The sequence below is a fragment of the Homo sapiens genome, chromosome 1 (genome assembly GCF_000001405.40).
Source record: "Homo sapiens chromosome 1, GRCh38.p14 Primary Assembly".
Classification (NCBI taxonomy): domain Eukaryota; kingdom Metazoa; phylum Chordata; class Mammalia; order Primates; family Hominidae; genus Homo; species Homo sapiens.
The window spans coordinates 207161704-207185492 of record NC_000001.11 but is presented as its reverse complement, the minus strand read 5'-3'; the positions used below and the strand labels follow the sequence as shown (position 1 = coordinate 207185492).

General features: G+C 35.9%; 1 long non-coding RNA gene and 1 pseudogene across 6 annotated transcripts in view, besides 1 other annotated feature; one reads left to right on the top strand and one right to left on the bottom strand.

The window, feature by feature from the left end:
* The window catches only part of LOC107985251 (uncharacterized), a 195120-nt gene that overhangs the window by 136637 nt on the left and 34694 nt on the right, over nt 1-23789 (top strand). Inside the window, exon 1 of one of the 6 annotated variants that reach the window (XR_007066841.1) lies at nt 13531-13619. The exons of the other annotated variants lie outside the window; for them this stretch is intronic. This is a non-coding gene — a long non-coding RNA (uncharacterized LOC107985251). Of the gene's footprint in view, nt 1-13530; nt 13620-23789 lie in introns of those variants that run through there. 6 annotated transcript variants of the gene reach the window in all.
* On the bottom strand, nt 1432-19998 carry C4BPAP1 (C4BPA pseudogene 1; annotated as a pseudogene).
* Nucleotides 12135-12429: a silencer, noted in NCBI's record as "tiled region #9788; HepG2 Repressive non-DNase unmatched - State 24:Quies, and K562 Repressive non-DNase unmatched - State 3:PromF". NCBI's record gives its function as "represses a minimal TATA promoter and a strong SV40 promoter by Sharpr-MPRA in HepG2 and K562 cells {active_cell/tissue: HepG2 | K562}" and the evidence as "EXISTENCE:reporter gene assay evidence [ECO:0000049][PMID:27701403]".

Sequence of the window (23789 nt, the reverse complement as noted above, 5' to 3'; positions counted from 1 at the left end):
GTGACTCAAGAACAAACATCAAATATGCATAGCTAATTGGCTTATGACAAAGTGACACTACAGAGCAATGGGAGAAAGGATGGTCTTTTTAATAAATTATACCAGATTAATTGTATGTCCATATGGAAAAAAATGAATCTTGGTCCTTTACCTTACACGATAGCAGTTATGGGTGGATCATAGTTCTAGGTGTGAAAGTAAAATTCTAAATATCTTAAAAGAAAACATGGGCAAAGATTTGGGGGTAGGCATAGATTTCTTAAATGGGATACAAAACTCTAATCAAAAAGGAAGCACTTGATATATTGTACTACATTAAAATTAGGAATTTATGTTTATAAAACACATAACTTTATAAAAGTAAAAAAAGCCAGGCCATAGATCAGGAAAAAGATATTTGCAATACATATCTCATAAAGGACTTTTGTCCAGAATATATTAAAAACTCCTACAACTAAATTAGAACTAGGTAAATCATCCAATAGAAAAATGAGTAAATGACTTGAACTAGAACTTCACAGAAAAGGAATATCTAAATGGTCAATAAACATATGAAAAGTAATTCAACCTCACTAATCACTGGGGAACAACAAATTTAAAGCACAATGTGATACCCAACAGAATTTCTCAAAAAAAAAAAAAAAAGAACAATTAACAATAGCAAGTGTTCCATGTTCTGCAGGAGTGTGTTTTGCTATAACAGCTTTGGAAAACTGAACAAACACATACACACACCTTATAAGCCAGCAATCCCATCCTCAGGTATATGCGGAGAAAAAAATGTCAATATTCAGCAAAAGGCATTTGCAAAAATATTTGTAGCAGCACTATTCATGATAGCCAAAAAACTAAAACTAACCCAAATGTTCATCAACAATAGGATAGATAAGTTAATTGTGATATATGCATACACTGGTGGAATACTAAATAGAAATGAAAATAAATGAACCTCAGCTATGTATAACATGGATGAATCTCACAAATATAATATTTAAAGGAAAAAACATATATGAAGGAGTGCATAATGGATGATTCCATTTCTATAAAGTTGAGCAGCATGCAAGCCCAATCTGTTAAAAGTGCTGTTAAAAGTGAGAAGAGTGGAATTCTGTGCAGGGGTAAAGCGATGAGTTACTAATGGGCAGGGGCCATCAAACAGACAATGGTTTTGTCTGTAATGTTACAGAAAATCCTTTGAGTTTTGTATCCTTTTCTGTAGGTTAAGGGTAGGCACATGTGGGATTCAGAGTAAAGGCATTCAGATAAAGATTATGGTATGAACATGGTTTGAATTTCCTGGCTTCCATTCTTTCTGAGGTACGAAAAAGGTGAGGCAAAGTTAATTACAGAAACTTTAGGCAGTGGATTTGTGTACTGGAGTGTATCATATTTATGCAACATATTGACCAAGATGACAATACAAACTGATATTTGGTAAATAATTATTTAATTAACCAGCACTTCAAGTCCAGGAAACTGGACATTTGAGCTACAAAAGGCTAGATTACCAATAATTACACATTTTTCTCTGGCAGTAATAAGAAAGTTCTCCTAGCCCAGACCCTTATGAGAGTGATGGTGCTCAAGGAAGAGTAGGGTGGATGAGTGAAGATTCTGTATGTTGATTTGAAGGGAAAAATAAGTCCTTCATTTCCTCTTTTTCAGAAAATTTCTGATGGGTGTTCATCAATTTGTCTCTCTCTTTTTCAAGTTGTTTTATCTCCAGAGACAGCTTATACACCTCCAGGGCCACTTTCACATCCTCTGGGCTTGGGAGACACTGCATGAGTTTTCTGCCTGTGAGCACTTGCTCACAACCTTCAGGTGCCTCCTAAAAGTGATTTAAAGAAATGAGTAGGGGATGGGAGTACATTCTTTTTTTTTTTTAATACTTTAAGTTCTAGGGTACATGTGCACAATGTGCAGGTTTGTTACATATGTATACATGTGCCATGTTGGTGTGCTGCACCCATTAACTCGTCATTTACATTAGGTATATCTCCTAATGCTATCCCTACCCCCTCCCACCACCCCACAACAAGCCCCGGTGTTTGATGTTCCCCTTCCTGTGTCCAAGTGTTATTGTTCAATTCCCACCTATGAGTGAGAACATGCAGTGTTTTGTTTTATGTCCTTGTGATAGTTTGCTAAGAATGATTCCTCAGGGATCTAGAACTAGAAATACCATTTGACCCAGCCATCCCATTACTGGGTATATACCCAAAGGAATATAAATCATGCTGCTATAAAGATGGGAGTACATTCTGAGAGTCATTACTGGCAAAAGGGAGATTGACCTGAGGAACAAATAGGAAATCAGGAGAGACCGTGCATCCTAGCAAGTGTTCACATGCAAGCCAAGCCCAGATCTGTCCTTGAGCAGCAACCAAGCAGTCTGAAGCTAAAAAGATGCTGGGCTCCAAAGGAGATGCAAAGCACATCCACACGGACAACTGAGGGATGGTTCTGAGGACCAACCAGAAATGGAACAAATGCACAACATTTATTGTAGAAAATGTAGAGCTAGGGGTCAGGACATCTGGGTCAATAGACTCTCAAGTCTAGAGATTTGGGCTCTAGACACAGAGCAGGAAAATGTGTCTCTCTTGGCTTATCACCATGCAAGTTTGGAAGTGCTAATTGTGGTAAGTTACTTATGCTTCCTGACAAAAGTCAGATCTCCCCATTGCTAACCGGAACAGAACCTTGGAAGAGGCCACTATTTTTAGGGATTGGTAGCACAGAACTTCCTTGAATTGTGCCACTTACCCACTCACACCTGGGCACTTCTGGGTACCAGGTTCTCTTCTCTGAGCAAGTGATACTTTTGAGACCAACCACACCATAGCCAGAATCACATTCAATGGTAACATTTTCAGACTCAACATACTGATCCTTATCCACAGACAGCCTTCCATTCACTATTTCTGGTTTCAGACACAGAGCTGTAATGAAAATGTATTTTTGATCACACTGTTTCTCAAAAAAAGTCATCATAACAGCATTGGATAATAAAAAGGATACAAAATTGTATTCACAATTATATTCTGGTCCTGCAGGTTGTTCTATGCTTTTATTTTAATAATAATTATAACAGTAATAATTAGCATTTATTGAACAAGTACTATATGTCAATCTATGTGCTAAATTTTTTACTTATCTCATTTAAACCTTGCTACCAATCTATGAGTTAGATACTATTATTATCACAATTTTACCAGCAAGGAAACTGAAAAGTTAAATATTTCCTCAGTATCACATAGCTTATAAGTGGTAAGAATTGGTGCTCTCAATTGCTGCACCCCACAGCCTTGATTTGTGGATTCTTGATATGTACTTTCCATTGTTCTTGCTTCATCATCTTCCTGGGTTAAACAGAGCCAGTGGTGATTATTAGCAGAATGATGAAAGCTCCAAGCACAATCAAGAGACAGAGCCTTACTTGATTCATCTTGTTTCTACAGCAGGTTTACCAACAGCACCACCATCAGGTAATCAAAAGTGGAAATGTAAATATCATGGGGAAATGGTGACCATCATGAAGTTTTTGTGGAGATTTCCAACACTTCAGAATTTGGGAATTAACACTTGAGATTCCTCTTTCTTGAGTAGTTGAAATTAACTTAGGATTCTCATGAAAACTAGAGCCACAAAGGTATTCTCAGGTAAAAGATACTGTCTCAACATATTCTGGAAAGACATATAAGAACCTGGTAGTAGTGGTTCTCTCTGAACATAGGGCAAGCTATGCTTTTGGAAGACTGGAGTAGGAAGTAAAGTTCATTTTCAATATACCTGTCAATTACTTTTTAAAATATATCAGGCATAATTTAAATAGTATGAATAAATAAATAAAGACAAAATTTATGCTGCCTTTGATTAATAGGAAACATTGCCATTAATGTTTTCTAATTCTATCTTCTATGGATTATGAGTTGAGTTGGAGTTACCTTTACATTGAGGAGGTGCAAGTTGCCAGTGAAAAGACTTGCAGTAGATTGTAGCAAATCCAGCCAAAACATATCCTTCATCACATTCATATGTAGCCTCAGGATAAGGAGTTATTAAAATAACTTCCTTGTAGTGTCCATGGGCAATACTGGGAGGGTAACTGCAAACTTGGATGATGAGAGAGAGAGAAGAGCATGAACTCATAGTTTCAGATTAATCTCCCCAAATCTGAATGATCTGTAGGAGATTCAAATGTTCCCATCCAAATCCTTTTTCCATAGGGTAACTTGACGCAACTCAACATTTCTACTGCTTTCAGGCTGAGAATCTAGAGAAAAGCTTGATGTGAATGAAAGCAACTCTTGGGTTGAGAGAATTCTCCATTTTGTAGGACCTTTCTTGGTTTTTGTGTACATGATCACTAAAATATTTCACTGCTTAGGGAAATTAAATGAGCTTTGGTACGAAAGCATGAATTCAACCATAGAGAGTCATATTAAATGAAAATCATTCTCAATAGAAGTAAGGCAAAGTAAAGGAATAGTTGTAAAGGCCCTGAATAACTGCAGGATCCCCAAACAATCTTGTCCATAACTACAATACCATAAGAACATAATTACCATATCTTACAATTTAAACAATGATTTCAGTGTTGACATAAGTAATATGAAATGCTGGGGTAGTCATACTAGAAGGGAACTTTCAAGTTTCAGGAACTCTTGAATGAAAAATTGCAACAAATTTAGAGCCCTGAGAATGTCAAAGGAAGTCCTGTGTTGAAGGATGATTGCCTCCGAAGATTAAAACTAAGCGACAGGGATTTTAAAATGCTCTATTTTCTAAAAATAAAATAATCAGCATCTTTAACAAACCATGGACATATGAAAAAATAAAAATACCTCTATTGGCCTTTTTCATAGATCCTTCAAATTCATCTAGCACCATTTTTTTTTTCTTTTTTTTTCTTTTGAGATGGAGTCTCACTCTGTCACCCAGGCTGGAGTGAAGTGGCATGGTCTTGGCTCACTGCAACCTCTGCCTCCCAAGTTAAAGCAATTCTCGTGCCTCAGCCTCCCAAGTAGCTACTATTACAGGCATGCGCCACCACACCCGGCTAATTTTTGTATTTTTAGTAGAGATGGGGTTTCACCACATTGGCCAGGCTGGTCTCGAATCGTGACCTCAGGTGATCCGCTCACCTCAGTCTCCCAAAGTGCCGGGATTACAGGCATGAGCCACCGCACTGGGCCCCATCTAGCACTATTTCTGTTTAACCAAACTAGTCAACTCCTCCTTCCCTAAACTTGTCATGTACATTTCCACTTCTATATATTAATATTTCCTCCTGGGACTCCCCTTTATTAGCATCTGCTTACCTTCTCTAATTGTTATCTCAAGTCCCACTTCTCCATGAAGCTTTGTTTGATTATTCCAATAAACAATGTCTGTTCTTTCCTTTTATAACACTTGTTAGCAGTAGATTACTTAAGATTAATAGAGTTTAATTAATGGGACATAAACAAATCGAGTGGTGCAAAGGATATATTGTAACAAATGCTTTGTACCCATGCCATGTCCCTTTGGACTTCTGACTACAGTCGCAGATGAAATATATAATTTTACACAAGCTCAGATTTACACTGATGATGTTCTACAGAAAGCATTCAATGTGAATCTGTCAGTCTTACTTTGGAGCCTCCTTTGCAGCTGAAAGAGCACAGTTGCAATTGAGGCTCAGTTACTGACTAAATTACTGAAGCGGTTACTGCCCTTTAGGGCAACCCTAAACCAATGAGCAACAGAAAGTATTGGATAAATGTCCCAGTCTCCCATCCTTCAGACAGATAATTATGAAAGGCATTCCTTACACTTCTCTGTGGTCCCAAAGAATTGAGCCGCTGCTGCTCATAATAGTCACCTTTGCTGATTCCCCTTGTCTCTCCCTCATCCCTGACTCCTACCTCCTAGAATCACCTCCAAAATAAACTACTGGCTCCCAAGTCATTTTCTCAAGCTTTGCTTTTAGAGAAACCCAAACTATAGTACCGAGTAATCACCATCGTGTTGATGTGAAGAGTCTTTCATAATGAAGATACTTCCATAATAATAACATTTTCAGTGTCTTATCCTGATAAGAGACAGATGTTTATCACCTTAGATGCTTATTTCTTCTCCTTCGTGGTATTTCAACAGAGAGGTGGTTCAGTAGGTCTGAGTTAAAGCAAGGAAAGAAAAGGCTGACACCGTCAGCCACTAGGCTTCAAGACTCTCCCTAACAGAGCACTTCTTCAACCTGGAGCTTCCATTGTTACACAATATGTAAATCATGTTTTCTCCCTTGACTTATAAATATGGAGCATTGTGAGGTAGTGTCCCTCTTTACTAAAACATCAGTACACATGCAGGAAAATGACAAAATGAGACTGAAAGACTTCATCAATTCTACTGTTTTCTCTTAAAAGAAAATTTCTCCTGTAAGTTTGTCTTCCAACATATTTTGTTCTATAGCTGCCTTGCATGGTGCTAGTGATGTGTATCTGTGATCCTTTTTGCACAATGCTTCTTGCAGGAACAACCTCAAATTCAGTTAGTTTTAAGTACTTCGATCTTTTGTGGAACCAAGTGGAATCATTTGGGGAATCTAGGAAATGATTATGACAGGTTCTCTCAATATTCTTACCTGGCTCACATGCTGGCATTTTAGGCTTCCATGTGCCATCTGTGTGGCAGGAACTCTCCCCGTCAACAGAAATAGGGTAATAGCCTTCATCACACATATATGAAATATAGTCTCCATAGGCATAGACACATCTACCAGTGAAATACCTCCTTTCATTTATGATTCTGATATTCTCCAGATCTGGTGTTGGGCAACATACCCCTGATGGATTAAAAAATGTTCAACATTACATGTCTGTATCAAAATATCTCATGTACCCCATAAATATATACAACTACTATGTACTCACAAAAATTTTTTTAAAAATTTTTAAATGTTGTTCACATTTAGTAAATCAATCAGGGGGACACACCTTTGGCTGAAGACCTGATTCCACCTTATAGAAGATGTTAATATCTGAAGGCAAACTCATAGAAGCAGAGAGTAGAATGGTGGGTGCCAGAGGCTGGAGGAGGGAGGGGAAACAACTCCCCAGTTGTTCAACAGGTATAAAGTTTCAGTTGTGCAAGATTAATAAGTTCTAGAAATCTGCTGTACAAATAGTGCCTATAATTAACAGTACTATATTATACACTGAAAAACTTATTGAAAGGGTAGATCTCATGTTAAGTGCTTTTGCCAAAATTTAAAGAGAGAAAGAGAAAGAAAGAAACAAAGAAGTTGAGGGAAGAGTTAGACCAAGCATCTTCTCCAAATTCTGCCATTGTTTGGTTGAAGTGCTATTACTTAATTTCCCTCCAACCGTGTTTCTTCATTAGAAGTCCTTAAAACAAAGTGTTGATTTTGGCAGTAATGAGCTAAGCAATTTAGATTCACCTTCTCTTTGATAACAAGTAGAAAAACATGGTGGGGAGTGGGGGCAGTTAATCCATGAAGAAAGAATTCAGGTGCTAAGACCTTAATTGTCTTAGTTGTTCTTTTAATGAGAAAGAAAGATACCCAATGAGGTGTACCAGGAATGTAGAGCTGCTTTTTTATATATATCTAGAAGTATACAATAATTCTCCTCCCCCAAGATACAACTTAGTGGCTAAGAAGCTGATCAGAACTCAATGTGTGTGTGGTAGTGGGGATTGATTGCTGGTAACCCACAGCTCTTGGGAATCTTTAGAACTATACCTTGAAGTAAGAATAAACCAAAAATAGACCAACTATCTATAATAAGTATTGAAGCCCAGGCTTGTATCATTACATTCCCTGATTGGATTTGGGTCATTCAAAGCCCTTAATGCCCCTTACTACCTGCCACAAGCAAACAGGAGACCAGACAAGGTTATTAAAAAGCCAAAGAAAGCAAGAGACAATGCTAACAGATCTGAGAGGATCCAGAAAATGAAGTTCTAAACATTGACTTAAAAGCCACTTTGCTTTGTTATGTAGAAGGAAATAAAATACATCATTGAGAATTTTGGTAGAAAAATCAATATCAATACTACAAATCCACTACAAATGGGAATCTTGAAAGTGAAAAAACAATAAAGTTAAGAATTCAACTCATAATTAATATCAGATAATACATCAATGAAGAGAGAATTAGTGAACTTAATTTATATTCATAGTAAAATACTGAGAAACAAAAAGTAAAAACACAGGTAAGAGCACAGGAAATATAGAAGATTCAGTATAAAAGCTTAACATAAATGTAGCCAAAGTATCAGTAGAAGAGTGAAAATAGGGCTGAAATTGTACTCAAAGAAAATACTTATTTATAATATTGAAGTATTTGAAGTTGAAAATTTTTCCAAAATCAGTGAAAGGCATCAAACCTCATATTATAGAAATATCCTAAATCTCAAAAAGGGTAAACACAAAGAAACCAACCCAGACATATCAGACAAAAACTGCCACAAAAAAAAGGCAAGAACATCTTAAAAGCAATCAGAAAAAATAGAAAACCTTCACATGATCAACAGTATGACTAATAGCAAAATTCTTGACAGAAACAATTAAAGGCAGAAGACCGTGGAATGAAATCTTTCACATGACCACGGAAAACAATTGCCAATCTAGAAGTTTATATCCAGCAAATATATCTTCAAATATTAAGGTGAAATAAAGGCACATTGAGAAAAACAAAGAGAGAAATTTATCATCAACAGGTTCTCACTAAAAGAAACTAGAGAGTATTTATGAAGCAAAAGAAAGGGATAACAGATATGACTGAAGAATCAGAAGAGAATAAAATAGTAATTATGTGAACAAATCTAAACTAATTGGATTTACTAAGATAATAATGCAATAGTAATAATGATAATAATAATGCAGAGTTTAAGACACATTTAGAATTGAAAAATAAAATCATATAAGTCAGGCAGGATAAATCAAGTTAAAGGTTTCTAAGGCTTTTCATTGCCTGGGAAGAGGCAAAAGTAGTAAATTATGTATAAACATCATAAAAAGAGCTAAAAGTAAATAAATACCAAGTAAATACCAGGTAAAAAAAATGGAAAAAAATTTAAAATCAATTCAAAAGGAGGGAAAAAAAAGAATGTAAAACAAAAAACGTATATAGCAAATAGATGGTAGATATAAATTCAATTATATTAATTATTACACTAACTGTACACTGACAAGTGCTCTAATTAAATAATGAAAATTGTCAAGTAGGATTAAAATATCCAACTCTATCCTGCTTCCAAGATACACTTAAAATATACAATTACAGAAAGTACAAAAACAAAAGACTAAAAGAGGATAAACCATGTAAACACTAACTCAGATAAAGATGTCAGAACTATATTAATGTAAAAGTAGAATTTTAAAGATAAAACAGTTATAGTAATAGAGTCATTTTATAATGATAAAAAGTGAAATTTATCAGGAAAATATATCATTCTAAATTTGTATGCATCTAGCAATGTAGTCTCAAAATATACAAAGCAAAAAATGATTTGAAAAAACTAAAAAGATGGCCACGTGTGGTGGCTCACACCAGTAATCCCAGCACTTTGGGAGGCCGAGGTGAGTGAATTTCTTGAGTCCAGGAGTTTGAGACCAGTCTGGACAACATGACAAAACCCCATCTTTACAAAGAATACAAAAATGAGCCAGGTGTGGTGGTGTATACTTGTAGTCCCAGCTACTGAGTCAGGAGGATGGCTCGAGCCCGGGAAGTTGAGGCTGCATCCAGCCGAGATCATGCCACTGCATTCCAGCCTGGGTGACAGAGCAAGACCCTGTCTCAAAACAAGCAAGCAAGCAAACAAACAAAAACTCTGAAAAGATAAAAGACAAACAAAACTTTTTTAGTAACCGAGAGAACAAGTAGACAAGAAATAAATATAAATATGGAAATAGATTTGAACAAAACCATTAAAATTAGATCTAATTGATGTATATGTAACATTGCACCCAACAACTGCAAAATATGCATCTTTTCAAGTGCACACAGAACATTTATAAAAATTAACTATATGCTATGAAGTGAAGCAAGTCTCAGCAAATTTCAAGGATTGTGCTCAACATTTTCAATATCAAAGAAGATACACACACATATATACACAAAACAAAGTTCAAGTCTTCTTACTCTCACACTCATTGGAAGATGTCCATGTCAAATTTTCCTGACAAGTCACAGTCAGAGGCTCATCTAAAACAGGTCTATAGCCAGGTTTGCATAGATATTTCAACTCAGTTCCAATTTCAAATATTTCGTGATCACTTAGGTTGTAGTCATTTCTCTCCCAGGAAGCATAGGAAATGTCCGGTAGGACAGTGCAACCATTCACTCATAAAGAAAGCACAAGGGTGAAAGAAATGTGTTACTGGGAATGGCAGAGTGACTCGTGAGCCTGTCACAAAAAAGGGATATAACATAGTCATTCAGCAAAAAATGAGATGGTAAAGATTAAATGGGAATTCCAGAAAAAGACTCGGCAGCACCACTGCCCAATAGACTAGTGTCTATTAAGTGCATGTGTCTACTAAATGCATGTGCCACTGGAGAGGCTGTACTGAGAAGCATGCCATGGTGTAGGAAGGGGACAGTTTCTAGGTGCTGGGTCAACTCCGTAGGAGCTTAGTTTTCCTTTCACATCACTGCACTTTAGAATGGTTGGTCTTCAGGGGAAGAATTAGGATCACTAGAAAGACACAGCAAAAATTTGCTCCAAGATGAGAATGACTTTCTAATCTCATTGCCTAATGGGGAATTAAAATAAGAGGCATTCTTCTTGACATCATGACACTATCATCTGCAACTTCATGCTTTGGCCTCAAACCAAGCCCCATATAACTTTTGCAGCTGGGCCTTTCATCTTGTATTTTTTTTTTCTATTCAACAATATGCTAAAGGTCAGTGTGAATCAAAGAGAGGATATGTGTCTGTCAAATTGTGTATTTATTGAATTTCATTACTACACATTTTGAATGGCACCTAAGTTTATGTGATAGCAGAAGAGACTAGATAAACCACAATGTAGTGGTGGCTTCCACCTCCAATTAACTATGTGAGCTTGTGCCAGTTACTTAATCTTTCTTTTTCGGTTTTCTCACCATTAAAATTGGATAAAAAATAGCAACTTCTTGGAATAGTTGTAAATATTGAATGAGTTAATTGATGTAAAGCACTTAGAACAGTGTTTATAACATAGAAAATGCTCAATAAATGCTAGCAATAAATCATTAATGTTATAAATGATCTGTATGTATTTACAACATGAAGGTCTCAAGACCAATATTGGCCCATAGAGCATTTCTATGCAAATTATAAAAAAGAACTGTCTTAAAGGAATCTTACTTCCATTGTTCAAAAAATTCTCGTAATACATTGATTTTGTTAGACTGAAACACTTTACTATTGTCTCCTGGAAAATTTTTATAGCAAATATATAAGTCTACAATATCTATGAAGTCATTGGTCTCATGACTATATATTTGGAATTCTTCCAATAGCGCTAAGAGATTATTAACAAAAAAATCTTCCTTTTGACAAGAAAAGTACCAATTTATCTTAAAATGATTATTGGGAGTAGAGTTGGCTTGTGCCTGTGAGCATGCCACACCTATATGTCAGGATAGTTTTAGATCCAAATATTGGAACTCCATCGTAGTCCATACTCACTGGATATGCAAGAGGGAACAGAAGGATACCACTCATTATTCGTTTCACAATAGATTAAACTGCTGCCTCTGAGGATATAACCTTCCTCACAGTTAACCATAATAGAGTCTTTGTAAGTATAGAGGGGTCCAAATCCAGAAACAAAGATTGCCTTTGGAATCTGTGGTCGACGACAGACAATTTCTAAAGAAGCATACAAAAAGACATCTGAGTTATCAGAGAGAAATGGCAGTAAAGATGTGACTGTAACTGTTGGCATGGCTTCAAGGAGGGCCTGATACAAATATATATTTAATAGGCGCTGAACAAAGAAAACATTTTGGAGATTTGTATACTTCCTTTCAGTTGCCAGAAACCTCAGCAAAATGAGGTCCCATCATGTTAGTCATGTAAAGTCCTCCAACTTTCTCATCAATAAGAATGGGCAATATCTAAACCCTGAAGTCCAAATCTCAATGTCTCCAAATCCTTCCATTAAATGGCCTAATTTCCTGGATGATTTTGGTTGGGGGTCAGTGACCCATGGTAATGATATGGTGTCATGCAGAGGCAGCCAGGGTATCGGGAAATCTGTGCTGCGCCTCCATAAGCAGAGAACAAGCCGCCTTCACCCCACATCATGTTAGTCATCATGTCCTGTCAATCCTGCCATCTTAATTCCTCTATACTTCCTCAACTTTCCTCCAGGCTCACTGCTGTGGCTACAGTTGAAGCCACTTTCACTTCCTGGCTGAAAGGTTGCAACAGGTGCCTATTAGTTATGTTTTGTTTCACTTCACATTGTCCTTTTAATGTCTTCCCTTTTCCTTCATTCCAAACTCCTGAAAGTGACACACAAAGCTTTCGTAACCTGGCCCCTACTAACTTATCCAGCCTCAGCTCCTGCCTTTTCCACTTCTTGCAGTCTTTTCACTGTTATGCTCTCTCTCACCCCGGCATTGGCTGTGTCCTGTACTGAGTCAAAACAATATGTGATACTATGGTTTTTAGGCACTTTATTTGCAGTAAAGAATAATGTCCTAAACCAGCAAGCTGAATCATTACTGATATTGACGTAACATCTCTTCTGGCTTCCATAGAGAGGCCAAGGGAAAATACTTTCTTTCATTGTGTTTTATTACCTTTATTACCTGCTGGTGTTGGTGTTTTGTTTGCTCCTTAGGCATGCATGGTTGACATTGTTAGTGTCCACCCATACTTCCAGTTATTGTAAGGTAAACAAAAGACAGTGTTTCCCGGTTATTCTGTATTAGGCAGAAATAAGGAACTAGTTCTGGTCAAAAGGCTGTAATGGCAAGTGATATATGTCACTTCCAGGTCAAAGAACTGAAGAGCCAGAGACTGACTTTCCTTGTTCTCTTCTCCCGCTGAACTAATTGTGGAAGTTTTGACATGGAGGTGTCAAAGATCTAAACAATCTGGATTACCATATAAGTGACAGCTGCCCTAGGGAGTTTCCCAGGCTAGCAGTGCACTAAGAAGAAACTTGAAAAAAACTTTTACTGTATAAAGGCCTTGAGATTTAGGTGTTGATTACTACTGCAGCACAGCCTATGCTATTCTGACTGATACAGCATGTAACAAGATTAGTTGAACAAATGAATGACTCCATCATTGCAGTGATTAGTTTCTCTTTGAATCATTCCATCTTCCCTAATAAATATGCCTTCCTTTTGTTTTTAAACAAATAAAAGAGATCAAAGCAGAACTAATCATTCTGACTTACTTTCACAGATAGGAGGGTTTGGGCTCCAGACACCTATTGTTTCATTCTCCACGGTGCAGGAGATGGAGACGTTGCCTATGAGTGAGAAGTAGGGGTTGCAGCTGTAGGTGACAGAGGAGGCATATGTGTAGAATTCTTGATCTCCACCGCTGTGCTTCCCATTCCTGATGTCTGGAGGGGGCTCGCACTTGGCAACTGAGGTGAGTGAGTGAAGAGAAAGAAACACTCAGGGTAGGCATTGGGTTAAATCGAAAATTCATGCAAATTCTAACGGAGGGTAAAAGAAGCAGTGAGATTTCACAGCAGTGTTATTACCTAAAGTAGTTTAGGTTTGTAGTCAGGTCAGAAAAAAAAGTTTTACTTACTTACACGTTCTGGGAGAGGATCACTCCAATCAACTCCTTTACCTTGGATCTGACAATGACTGGTGGTTGAGCCAATTAAGAAAAATCTAAATAAGATAGGTCAAACATTTTAGTGGAATTCATTTACTCTAGACATAAATTGTCTATGAGGTTTTGGACAAATCAGAAAAAATAAATATTGAGTACTATGCTTAGTACATGTGTGATGTAATAATCTGCATACCAAATCCCCATGACATGAGTTTACCTATATAACAAACCTGCACATGTACCCCTGAACCTAAAGTAAACATTCAAAAAATATATATTTTTACTAACTTTCTTATCTCCTGTTTGTTCTCCTGAAAATGTATTTATCTTTCTAGAAAGTCATTTGTTTCCCATAAGTGCCTTTCTCCCTTCACCTACTAAAATGGTATATAAGCCCCAAATTCTAATCACTCCCTTTGAGTTACTCATCACCAAGCTCTCCCACATGTATGTTGCATGAATAAACACTGTAATTTTCTCCTGTTAAAGAAAAAAAGAAACAAATTTTTATTAAATATTTTAAAATGAAAAAATAATGCTGTCTTGATTACTAATTACCATTTAGGCCAACTTGCAGTTACATTTTCTCATATCAAGCGAAGGGTTTATTTGTTCAATTTTAAAATGCTCTAGCTTGTCTAAGCAACTTAAGCTTTTTCTTTGTATCACATGGTACCCATCCGAAATGAATAAAAAGAGAACACAACAAGTTTTACACCTAAAATCTGAGGACTTGTCTTAAATCTTACACTCTTTCCCTAACAAGCTATAAATCAAGCAGTTCAAAACAAGTAAGTGGTTCACTTGAGTTTGTTATGTAGTTTCCTTTAAATAAACGAGCAAGACACATTACTGATGTGTACTAGTACTCTGACCTCTAATTTGAATCTTTTTTCTGGCTTCTAGAGCTTAGCTTACTCTCATAAACCTGAGAGTTCCTTAGGAACTCATAAGTTCCTAACTTCCTGATTATCATCTCATTGTTCTTGCTCTTGACAAGTCCCAGTCTTTATTCTAGGACCTTTTGCCTTTAAAAAAAAAATTTACTCTGAATATCAATAATAAGTTCCTGAATAAAATATTATCAAACAGAGTCCAGGAACACTTTAAAAAGAAAATTATACAATGACCAAATAGTATAGTTTTATTTAAAGAATAAAAGGATCCTTCAAAATTAGGAAATATATTAATATAGAATAACTTGTTATGGACTGAATGTATCTATCTCCTCAAAATTTATATGTGGAAGCCCTAACCCCCTAGTGTAGCTATATTTGCATAAGTAAGTAATTAATGTTCAGAAGGGTGGAGCCCTGATCCAGTAAGATTAGGGTCCTTATAAGAAAAAACACCACAAAGATCTCCCACTTGCAGTCCCTGCACCCTCATGCTGACACCAGGGAAAGATCATGTGTGGACACAGTGAGAAGACAACCAGCCATCTGCAACCCAGGTGGGGAGCCCTCAACAGGAACCAAAACCTGTGGGACCTTGTTCTGAGACTTCTAGACTCCAGAACTGTCCCAGCCCGTGGGATTTTGGTATTTTTTTATGAAAGCCTGAGCAGACTAATATATACATGATATTAATAAATCTATTAAGAAAAATAAACCATCATCTTGATAGTCACTAAAATGGCATTTGAAAAATAATCAACAATTAGTTTTGGCCAAAAATGTTCAATATAACAGGAATCAGTGCAGATACAGCTCCACTAAATTTAGGAAGAAAATGCTAGTCATTTCTGCTAGAGTCAAGTATAAGAGAAAAATAACTGGTATCAATTTTTTATTTGAGATAATTGCTAGCATAAGTACATAAGAAAAAGGAATTAGAAATACAAAAATTGGAAAAGAGAAAATAACAGAATCATTATTTTCAGATGACATAATTACATATCTGGAAATCCCAAGAAAATCCGACTGTATTAGTCCGTTTTCACACTGCTGATAAAGACATACCTGAGCCTGGGTAGTTTATACAGAAAAAGAGGTTTAATGGACTGACAGTTCCACGTGGCAGAGGAAGCCTCAAAATCTTGGCGGAAGGGAAAAGGCATGTCTTACATGGCAGCAGGCAAGAAAGAATGAGTGCTAAGTGAAAGGGGAAACCCCTTATAAAATCATCAGATTTCGTGAGACTTAATCATCACCATGAGAACAATAAGGGGGAAACCGCCCCCCACCATGATTCAATTATCTCCCATGGGGTCCCTTCCACCACACGTGGGAATTACGGGAGCTACAATTCAAAATGAGATTTGGGTGGGGACAAAGCCAAGCCATATCACCAACTGATAGACTATTATAAGTAATAAGGAAATTCAAGGCATTAGCTGAGATATGATATTAATATATAGAAATAAGTAGTTTCCATATATATGAATAAAAATTGTTAGGAGATATAATGGAAGAAAAGACACCATTTGCAATCTCAAAAATAAGACAAAAATAAAATAAGATAGCAGAGACCAAACATAAGAATTGAAAAATGTAAATGGGGAAAGCTTTAAAACAGTCCTGAAACACACACACACAGCCACACACACATAGACAACTAGGACAAATGGAAAGTCTTGGCTGGCAAGATGCAATATCATAAAATGTCTATTCTCTTAAAGTTCATTTAAAAGCTTAATACAATTGATTAAAAGTAAAAATCAACCAATTTAAAAGTTCATATAGAAATACAAACAAGCAAACATAGGAAAACTCTATAAAAACAGAACAGTCAGGCGGATACCTCTAAGTGATGTTGCACACTAAAAATTCAAGAGAAAGGAGCTGGTTGTGTGAATATACAGAAAGACTAAAAGCATTGAATAGAACATCTAAAAAAGACTAATATACGCTGAAGTATTAAATACGTATTTTTAAAAGATGTTCTCTCACATGGATTAGATGTAGACTTATTAATAAATGATGCCAAGACAATGCGAAGGCCATCTAGAGAAAGATATGGATTCTTTCTGTATTTTTTTAATATTTGCATGTGAACCTATACTTACCTCAAAATAAAAAGTTTTTCACCCCTGAGAGGTCTGAAAAAAATTAAAAACTTAAAAAATACTATACAGAGATTTTATTTTCTCTTTTTAATAGGCAAAAAATTCAAAAATAGTAAATCACAGAGGTAAAGACACAGGCGTTTGTTTACATTACAAAATTTTACAGTTTATAAAGAGCAATTTGGCAATATTTAGCAAAATTTCAAAGCATCTTCTCTCTGATCCAACAATCCCACTTCTGGGAATTCGTCCTACAAACATCTCTCTATATTAATATATATAACATAACATATATAAAAAGTATGCATCAGGACATTGTATGTAACAGGAAAAGATTGGAAACACACAAAAATCCATCAGTAGGAATCATTAAATAAACGATGATAAGCTACGATACATGCGTTAGAAAACTATACAGCTGTAAACATACATATACACACAGACAGAGAGAGAGAATGAGGGCACACTTGGTGCATGAATGTCAAAGATCTCTAGTACATATTTGTCTTAGTTATTTCTGGTTGCTATAACAAAATACCATAGACTGGATGGCTTAAACAACAGAAATTTATTTCTCACAGTACTGGAAGCTAGGAAGTCTGAGATCAGGGTACCAACATAGTTAGGTTCTGGTGAGGGCCTACTTCCTGGTTTGCAGATGGTTTGCCTTCCTGCTGTGTCCTCACATGGCAGAGACAGAGAGAGAAAGACAGACAGAGAGAGAGAGAGAGAGAGAGAGAGAGAGAGAGAGAAAGCTCTCTCACGTCTTTTTATAAGGACACTAATCCCCACATGAGGACTCCGCTCCCATGACCTAATGACCTCCCAAAGGCCCCATCTCCAAATACCATCACACTGGGGATTCAGATATGAATTTTGAGGGAATACCAAAAAAATTCAGTCCATAGCAATGTTGTAAGTGAAAAAAACAAAAGCAGGGTTCGAAACGATGTATGCAGTCAGGTATCTTCTGTATAATAAAGAGGGAAAAGTATTGACAAAAATACTTGTACTCACTTGTATTTATAGAAGTAAACACTAAAGGGATAAATCTGAAACTAATCAATGTCATTTTCTGTCAGAGGGCAGAGAGAAATGGGATGAATGAGGATGGGGTGGAAGTAAGAATTATTGATGTATACCTTTTTATGCCACTTTTGTTTTTGAAACATATAAATGTATTAACTCCTTATAAAAATTAATTGAAAAGGAAATTATTGCTTCTAGGTTGCCTTATACTCACCCCTCTGAGCAGCTGAATTATATGGTTGAACCAAGGAGAAGATCTTTTTTAACTTCCACTATCCCATTGATTAATTCTGGATTTCTGCATCGTTTCTCTAGGAGGAAAATTAAAATAATGACTCATGATTCCAATTACTCACAAAATAGAACATTAGGGGAAAAAAAAGTCTGGTTCACTAACTTTAACTCCTGCTTCCAGATAGACCTAGAGATATTTTTCAATGCTTATTTCTTATTCTGACTCGTTAATATTTTGCTTTGAAAAAAAATATATAGACATATATCTCATTTTTCTGACACATTTTAAGAAGAGAAAAAAAAACTTCACTTAGTTTCATTTGCTCAGTTAGACCACTGTGATAATACTGGATGTATTTATTGACCAGTTGTCCATAAAAATGTATGCTCTCGAAAATATATGACCTTCGTCACAGGGAAACAGAAGGAAAAGGGAAGCAGATGCTATATTCTAACTGTTCAAAAAATATGTCCAAGTGTATTCCCAACTGATTTCTTCTAAATACTATAGATGATGTTAATTTTGAACTGTTTTGATAGAAGATTTTCATATGAATTAAGTAATTCATTAAGTTCCTAAAAGAACTTTCTGGGAAAAAAAGTAAAGGTGAGAAAAATAAATGTTGATACTTACTTGCACAAAAGATACTATAGTTCCACGAGTCTTTGGCATCACAAATCAGTCGACTTGAATTGATTTTACCATGCCCAGGGTGGCAGGTGTACTTCAGAGTAGTTCCAGTTTTGAATTCAGTATCATACAACGGATTTATTGGAAAAGCAAATGGTAACTCAGGTGGAGGACCACAGTCACCTGCACACACAAAAAAATGGCAAGGAACATCAACAGTTATATCTTGGGACACAATGTCTCGATGTCCGAGTACTAAGTTTTCTAGAGCAGAGACCATGATTTTCTCTTTTATCATAACTCCTATTGTGTCATTGTTCAATGAGCGCAGTAAGTGATCAATAATACACATTTGTTGAGTAATGATAATGACAACAATAATGAGTAAAGGCAGGAAAAGTTTGTCCATCTTTGACTGTATAAGTGCTAATTTATTAGAAAGTGAATGAATAGACTTAATTTTCATCATTCTATCAGATTGCCCACATCTGTCTGCTCAGAATATAGGTGGCTATGCCATGCCATATGACTCTACCTCCTGCCTTAGCAGAAACATATTTTCTACTAAAAATAGCATTATGCAAGATTAGTTGCCTCAGTCAAGGATGAGGAGGCATTTCATTTATGTCCTTTTGGAACTTTTAGATTTAGAATAAATGGCCTGTTAAAAAATAAAATATTTTTCAAAAGCATTACAAGGTGGAGAATCATTAAACCCTTGAAAAATAAAATCTTAATTCTACTTCCCTGGCAAGAATTAAACAAAGTACTGAGTGACCTTCCAAATGCCCCAGAAGAATTATACCAACCCCTTCTACATTCTAAATAACCACACAGGCAGTGAGAGTTCATGGCCAGGCTGGCAGATAATACGCATTTATTACAAGTCATGATTGTTTCAATGTTAAGTTGTTCAGAGTTTCCTGGAGAGAAAAATTCTAAAAGGGAGCATCAGGACGGTCTATAAAACAAGATTTTCTTTTTTTAGTTTATAGCATGTTTCCCAAATTCCAGGTGGTCAAATATATTCCATAATGTTAAAGATCTCTTAGACACCTCTTAAAATAGGGTGTGTGATGAACTCAGTTGCATGCTGGTCATCTGGCCTGTCTCCCCACTACTTACCAAGAATGGTAGCCAACAAAACAGTGACCAGCATCATTTGGAACAGAGTTGAATTGGAGACTTTCCACAGCCTAGAGACGAGTGAAGCTGCGATTTCTCCTTTTCTATCGAGGGTGGAGCCCTCAAGGAGTGCAAGTGGAGGTCTCTGGGAGTGCATGATCTGATGCCTCTTCAGTGTTTTTCTGCTGAAAGAACTCAACTTAATAAACAGTCATTGAATTCTTACCTGTCATAAAGTACTATGAAGAATAAAATGGGAACTGTTTTCAAGGAGATTATAATCAAATGTAGAAGAAAAGGCATTAACTTTTTGTAATAAAAGATAGCTTGTATTTTCTGTAACAGGAGCATATTCAGGAGACCAGTAAATTCCAGAGATCTGGGGTGAACTGTACAGAGGTAGTAGATATTGCTGTGAAATTTGGAGTGTTAAATGTGGAATATTTTATGGCAATAGTAAAAATTAAGTAAAGGCACAGCAGTGAGAAGGTAAAGGTTATTTCTTGAAAATAGTAATTAGTACTTCAGATTGATTAGAAGATACGGAATTCCTGATAGGAGATGATAGTTAAAGATAGAGAGGCAGGTTAGAACTGGGTTTGATCAGGTTTTCAATACCAAGATTGGGAGCTTGAAACTAGGGAATATACATACACTTTTTTCAAATGACATGATTACTGTGTTTTTGAAAGACTATTATGGCAGATGTATACAAGGTAGATTGAAAGAGGCAGAGAGAAGAGACAGGGAGATTGATTAAGAAGACTATAGCAATTGGCCAAGTGAGCCAAGGAAATTATCTGAACAAGGAAATGGCAGAAGAGTTATAGGAGAAAGAGAAAGCTTAAGAAAAGCAAGAAAATGACAAGACAGAGGAAAACAGTTGGAGATGTCTCTATGAATCATATATCTATCTATATCTATCCATCCATCTATATGATTTTCTTATGGCAACTGTCAACAAAAGCAAAAATCCGTTGGGTCATTCAGAATTTTTTAAGTATGGCTTTTACCAACAACCGCAAACAATAAGTAGTATTACTGTTATGTTTCTTGGTTCCAGTCATTCATTAATCAGAGACTTCTTCAAAGCAAGATCTCTATAAAGTCATTCTTACCCCCTGAATGAGAAAAACCCTCACATATCCTAAGTTTACTTCAGAAACAAGTTACTTAAGAAGTATGACCCAAAGTGATATATAAAATTAACTTGCAGTGAAATATAGGATTTCACCTTTTGTTCTGAAACCTTAGGTAAGTTGAGATGGTTTCATATAGCCATCTGTCCTTAATTATATGAATTGCCAACTCATGTCCATTTAAGTCAATAGGCCAATGATGTGGGGCACTTCCCCTATATTTTCTTCTAGTAGTTTTGTAGTTTGGGGTTTTATATTTAAGTCTGTAATCCATTTTGAGTTGACTTTGTATATAATGAGAGGTAGGGATCTAGTCTCATTCTTCTGTATGCGAATATCCAATTTTCCCAGCACCATTTATTGAAGACTGTCTTTTCTCCAGTATGTGTTCTCACCTGTTTCAAAAATCAGTTGGCTTTTGGTGAGTAAGTTTATTTCTGGGCTCTCTCTTCTGTTCCATTGGTCCATTTGTATATGAAGCTTTTCCATTCAGTATGATGTTAGCTATGAGTTTTTTATATATGTCCTTTATTGTATTGAGGTGCATACCTTCTATACTAATTTGTTGAGAGTTTTTGTCATGAAGGAATGTGAAATTTGTCACATTCTTTTTCTGCACCTATTGAAATGATTGTATCATGTTTCTTTCTTTCTGTTAATGTAGTGTGTCACATTTATTGATCTGAGTATGATAAACCATCCATGGATCCCTGGGATGAATTCCACTTCATCATAATGAATAATTTTTTTAATGTGCTCTTGGATTTGGTTTGCTGGTATCTTGTTATGAATCTTTGCATCGATGCTTATCAGGGGTATCAGCCTATAGTTTTCTTTTTTCTTTGTGTTCTTGTCCAGTTTTAGAATCAAAGTAATGCTAGCTTTGCAAAATGAGTTTGTAAGTATTCCCTCCTCTTCTATTTTTCTGGAATAGTTTGAGAGGAATTGGTATTAGTTCTTTTTTAAATGTTTGGTAGAATTCAGCAACGAAGACATAAGGTCCTAGGCTTTTATTTGATGGAAAACTTTTTATTACTGATTGAATTTTCTCTTCAATTCAACTTTTAATTGGTCTGTTCAGATGTTCTATTTCTTCATAACTTGATCTTGGTAGGTTGTATGTATCCAGGAATTTATCCATGTCTTCTATCTTATCAAATTTGTTGGCATATGGTTGTTTATAATAGTATCTTATAGTACTTTCTATTTCTGTGGTATTAGTAGTAATGTCTCCTTTTTAATCTCTGTTTTATTTATTTCAGTATTCTCTCTTTTTCTCTTAGTCTAGCTAAATGTTTGTCATTTTTGTTTATATTTTCAAAATCCCAACTTCATTTTATTGCTCTTTCAATTTTTTTTTTTTTTTTAGACGGAATCTTGCTCTGTTGCCCAGGCTGGAGTGCAGTGGCACGATCTCCACTCACTGCAAGCTCCACCTCCCAGGTTCACGCCATTCTCCTGCCTCAGCCTCCTGAGTAACTGGGCCTACAGGCACCTGCCACCACGTCCGGCCAATTTTTTGTATTTTTAGTAGAGATGGGGTTTCACTGTGTTAGCCAGAATGGTCTCGATCTCTTGACCTCGTGATCCGCCTGCCTTGGCCTCCCAAAGTGCTGGGATCACAAGCGTGAGTCACCACGCCCGGCCTCTTTTTTTTCATGTCTTTTTCATTTATTTCTGCTCTGAGCTTTATTATTTTCTTCCTTATACCAATTTTAGGTTTAGTTAGTTCTTGTTTGTCTAGTTCCTTGGGGTGTTTATTAGAAATCTCTCTTCTTTTTTATGTAGGTGTTTATTACTATAAATATCCCAATTAGAACTAGTTTTGCTGTGTCCTATAGGTTTGGGTATAATGTATTGTCATTCCCATTTGTCTCAAAAAATCTTTTAGTTTTCCTTTTAATTTCTTTTTGGCCAATTGGTTGTTTAGGGACATGTCATTTAACTTTCATGTATCTGTAAAGTTTCCAAAGTTTTTCTTGTTGTTAATTTCAAGTTTCACATTATTGTGATCAGAAAACCTATTTGATATGATCTCTTCCTTCCTAAATGTTTCAAGACTTGTTCTGTGGCCTAACATCTGATATATCCTAGAGAATGTTCCATGTGCAGTTGAGAATGTGTATTCTGTAGCTGTTGTGTGGAATATTCTGTAAAGGTCAGTTAGATCCATTTGGTCTATGGTGCACTTTAAGTCTGATGTTTCTGGGTTGATTTTTTTTTTCTAAATAATGTGTCCATTGCTGAAAGTGAGATGTTGATGTTGCCTACTATTATTGTATTGCATTCCATCTCTCTCTTTAGGTCTAACAATATCTGGCTTATATATATGGGTGCTCTAGGATTAGGTGCATATGTATTTATAATTCTTATTTACTCTTGTTGATCTTTTTATCTTTATATAATGACCTTTTTACAGTTTTTTTTAACTTCAAGTCTATTATATACAAGTATGGCTACTCCTGTTTGCTTTAGGTTTTTGTTTGCTTGGAATATCTTTTTCCATCCCTTCAATTTGAGTCTATATTTGACTTTAACCATGAAATGAGTCTCTTATAGGTAGCACGTCATTGGATCTTGTAGTTTTCTTCATTTAGCCACTATGTATCTTTCAATATAAAAAATTAACTTATTTACATTCAAGGTTACTGTTGATAGGTAAGGACTCTTGCCATTTTACTAATTGCTTTGGTTGTTATATAGATTCTCTGTTTCTTTCTTCATTTTTTGTTGCTTCCTCTCTTGTTGGTGGTTTTCTGTGGTGTTTAACTTGTTCCCTTTCTCTTTCTTATCTGTGTGCCTGCTGTAAT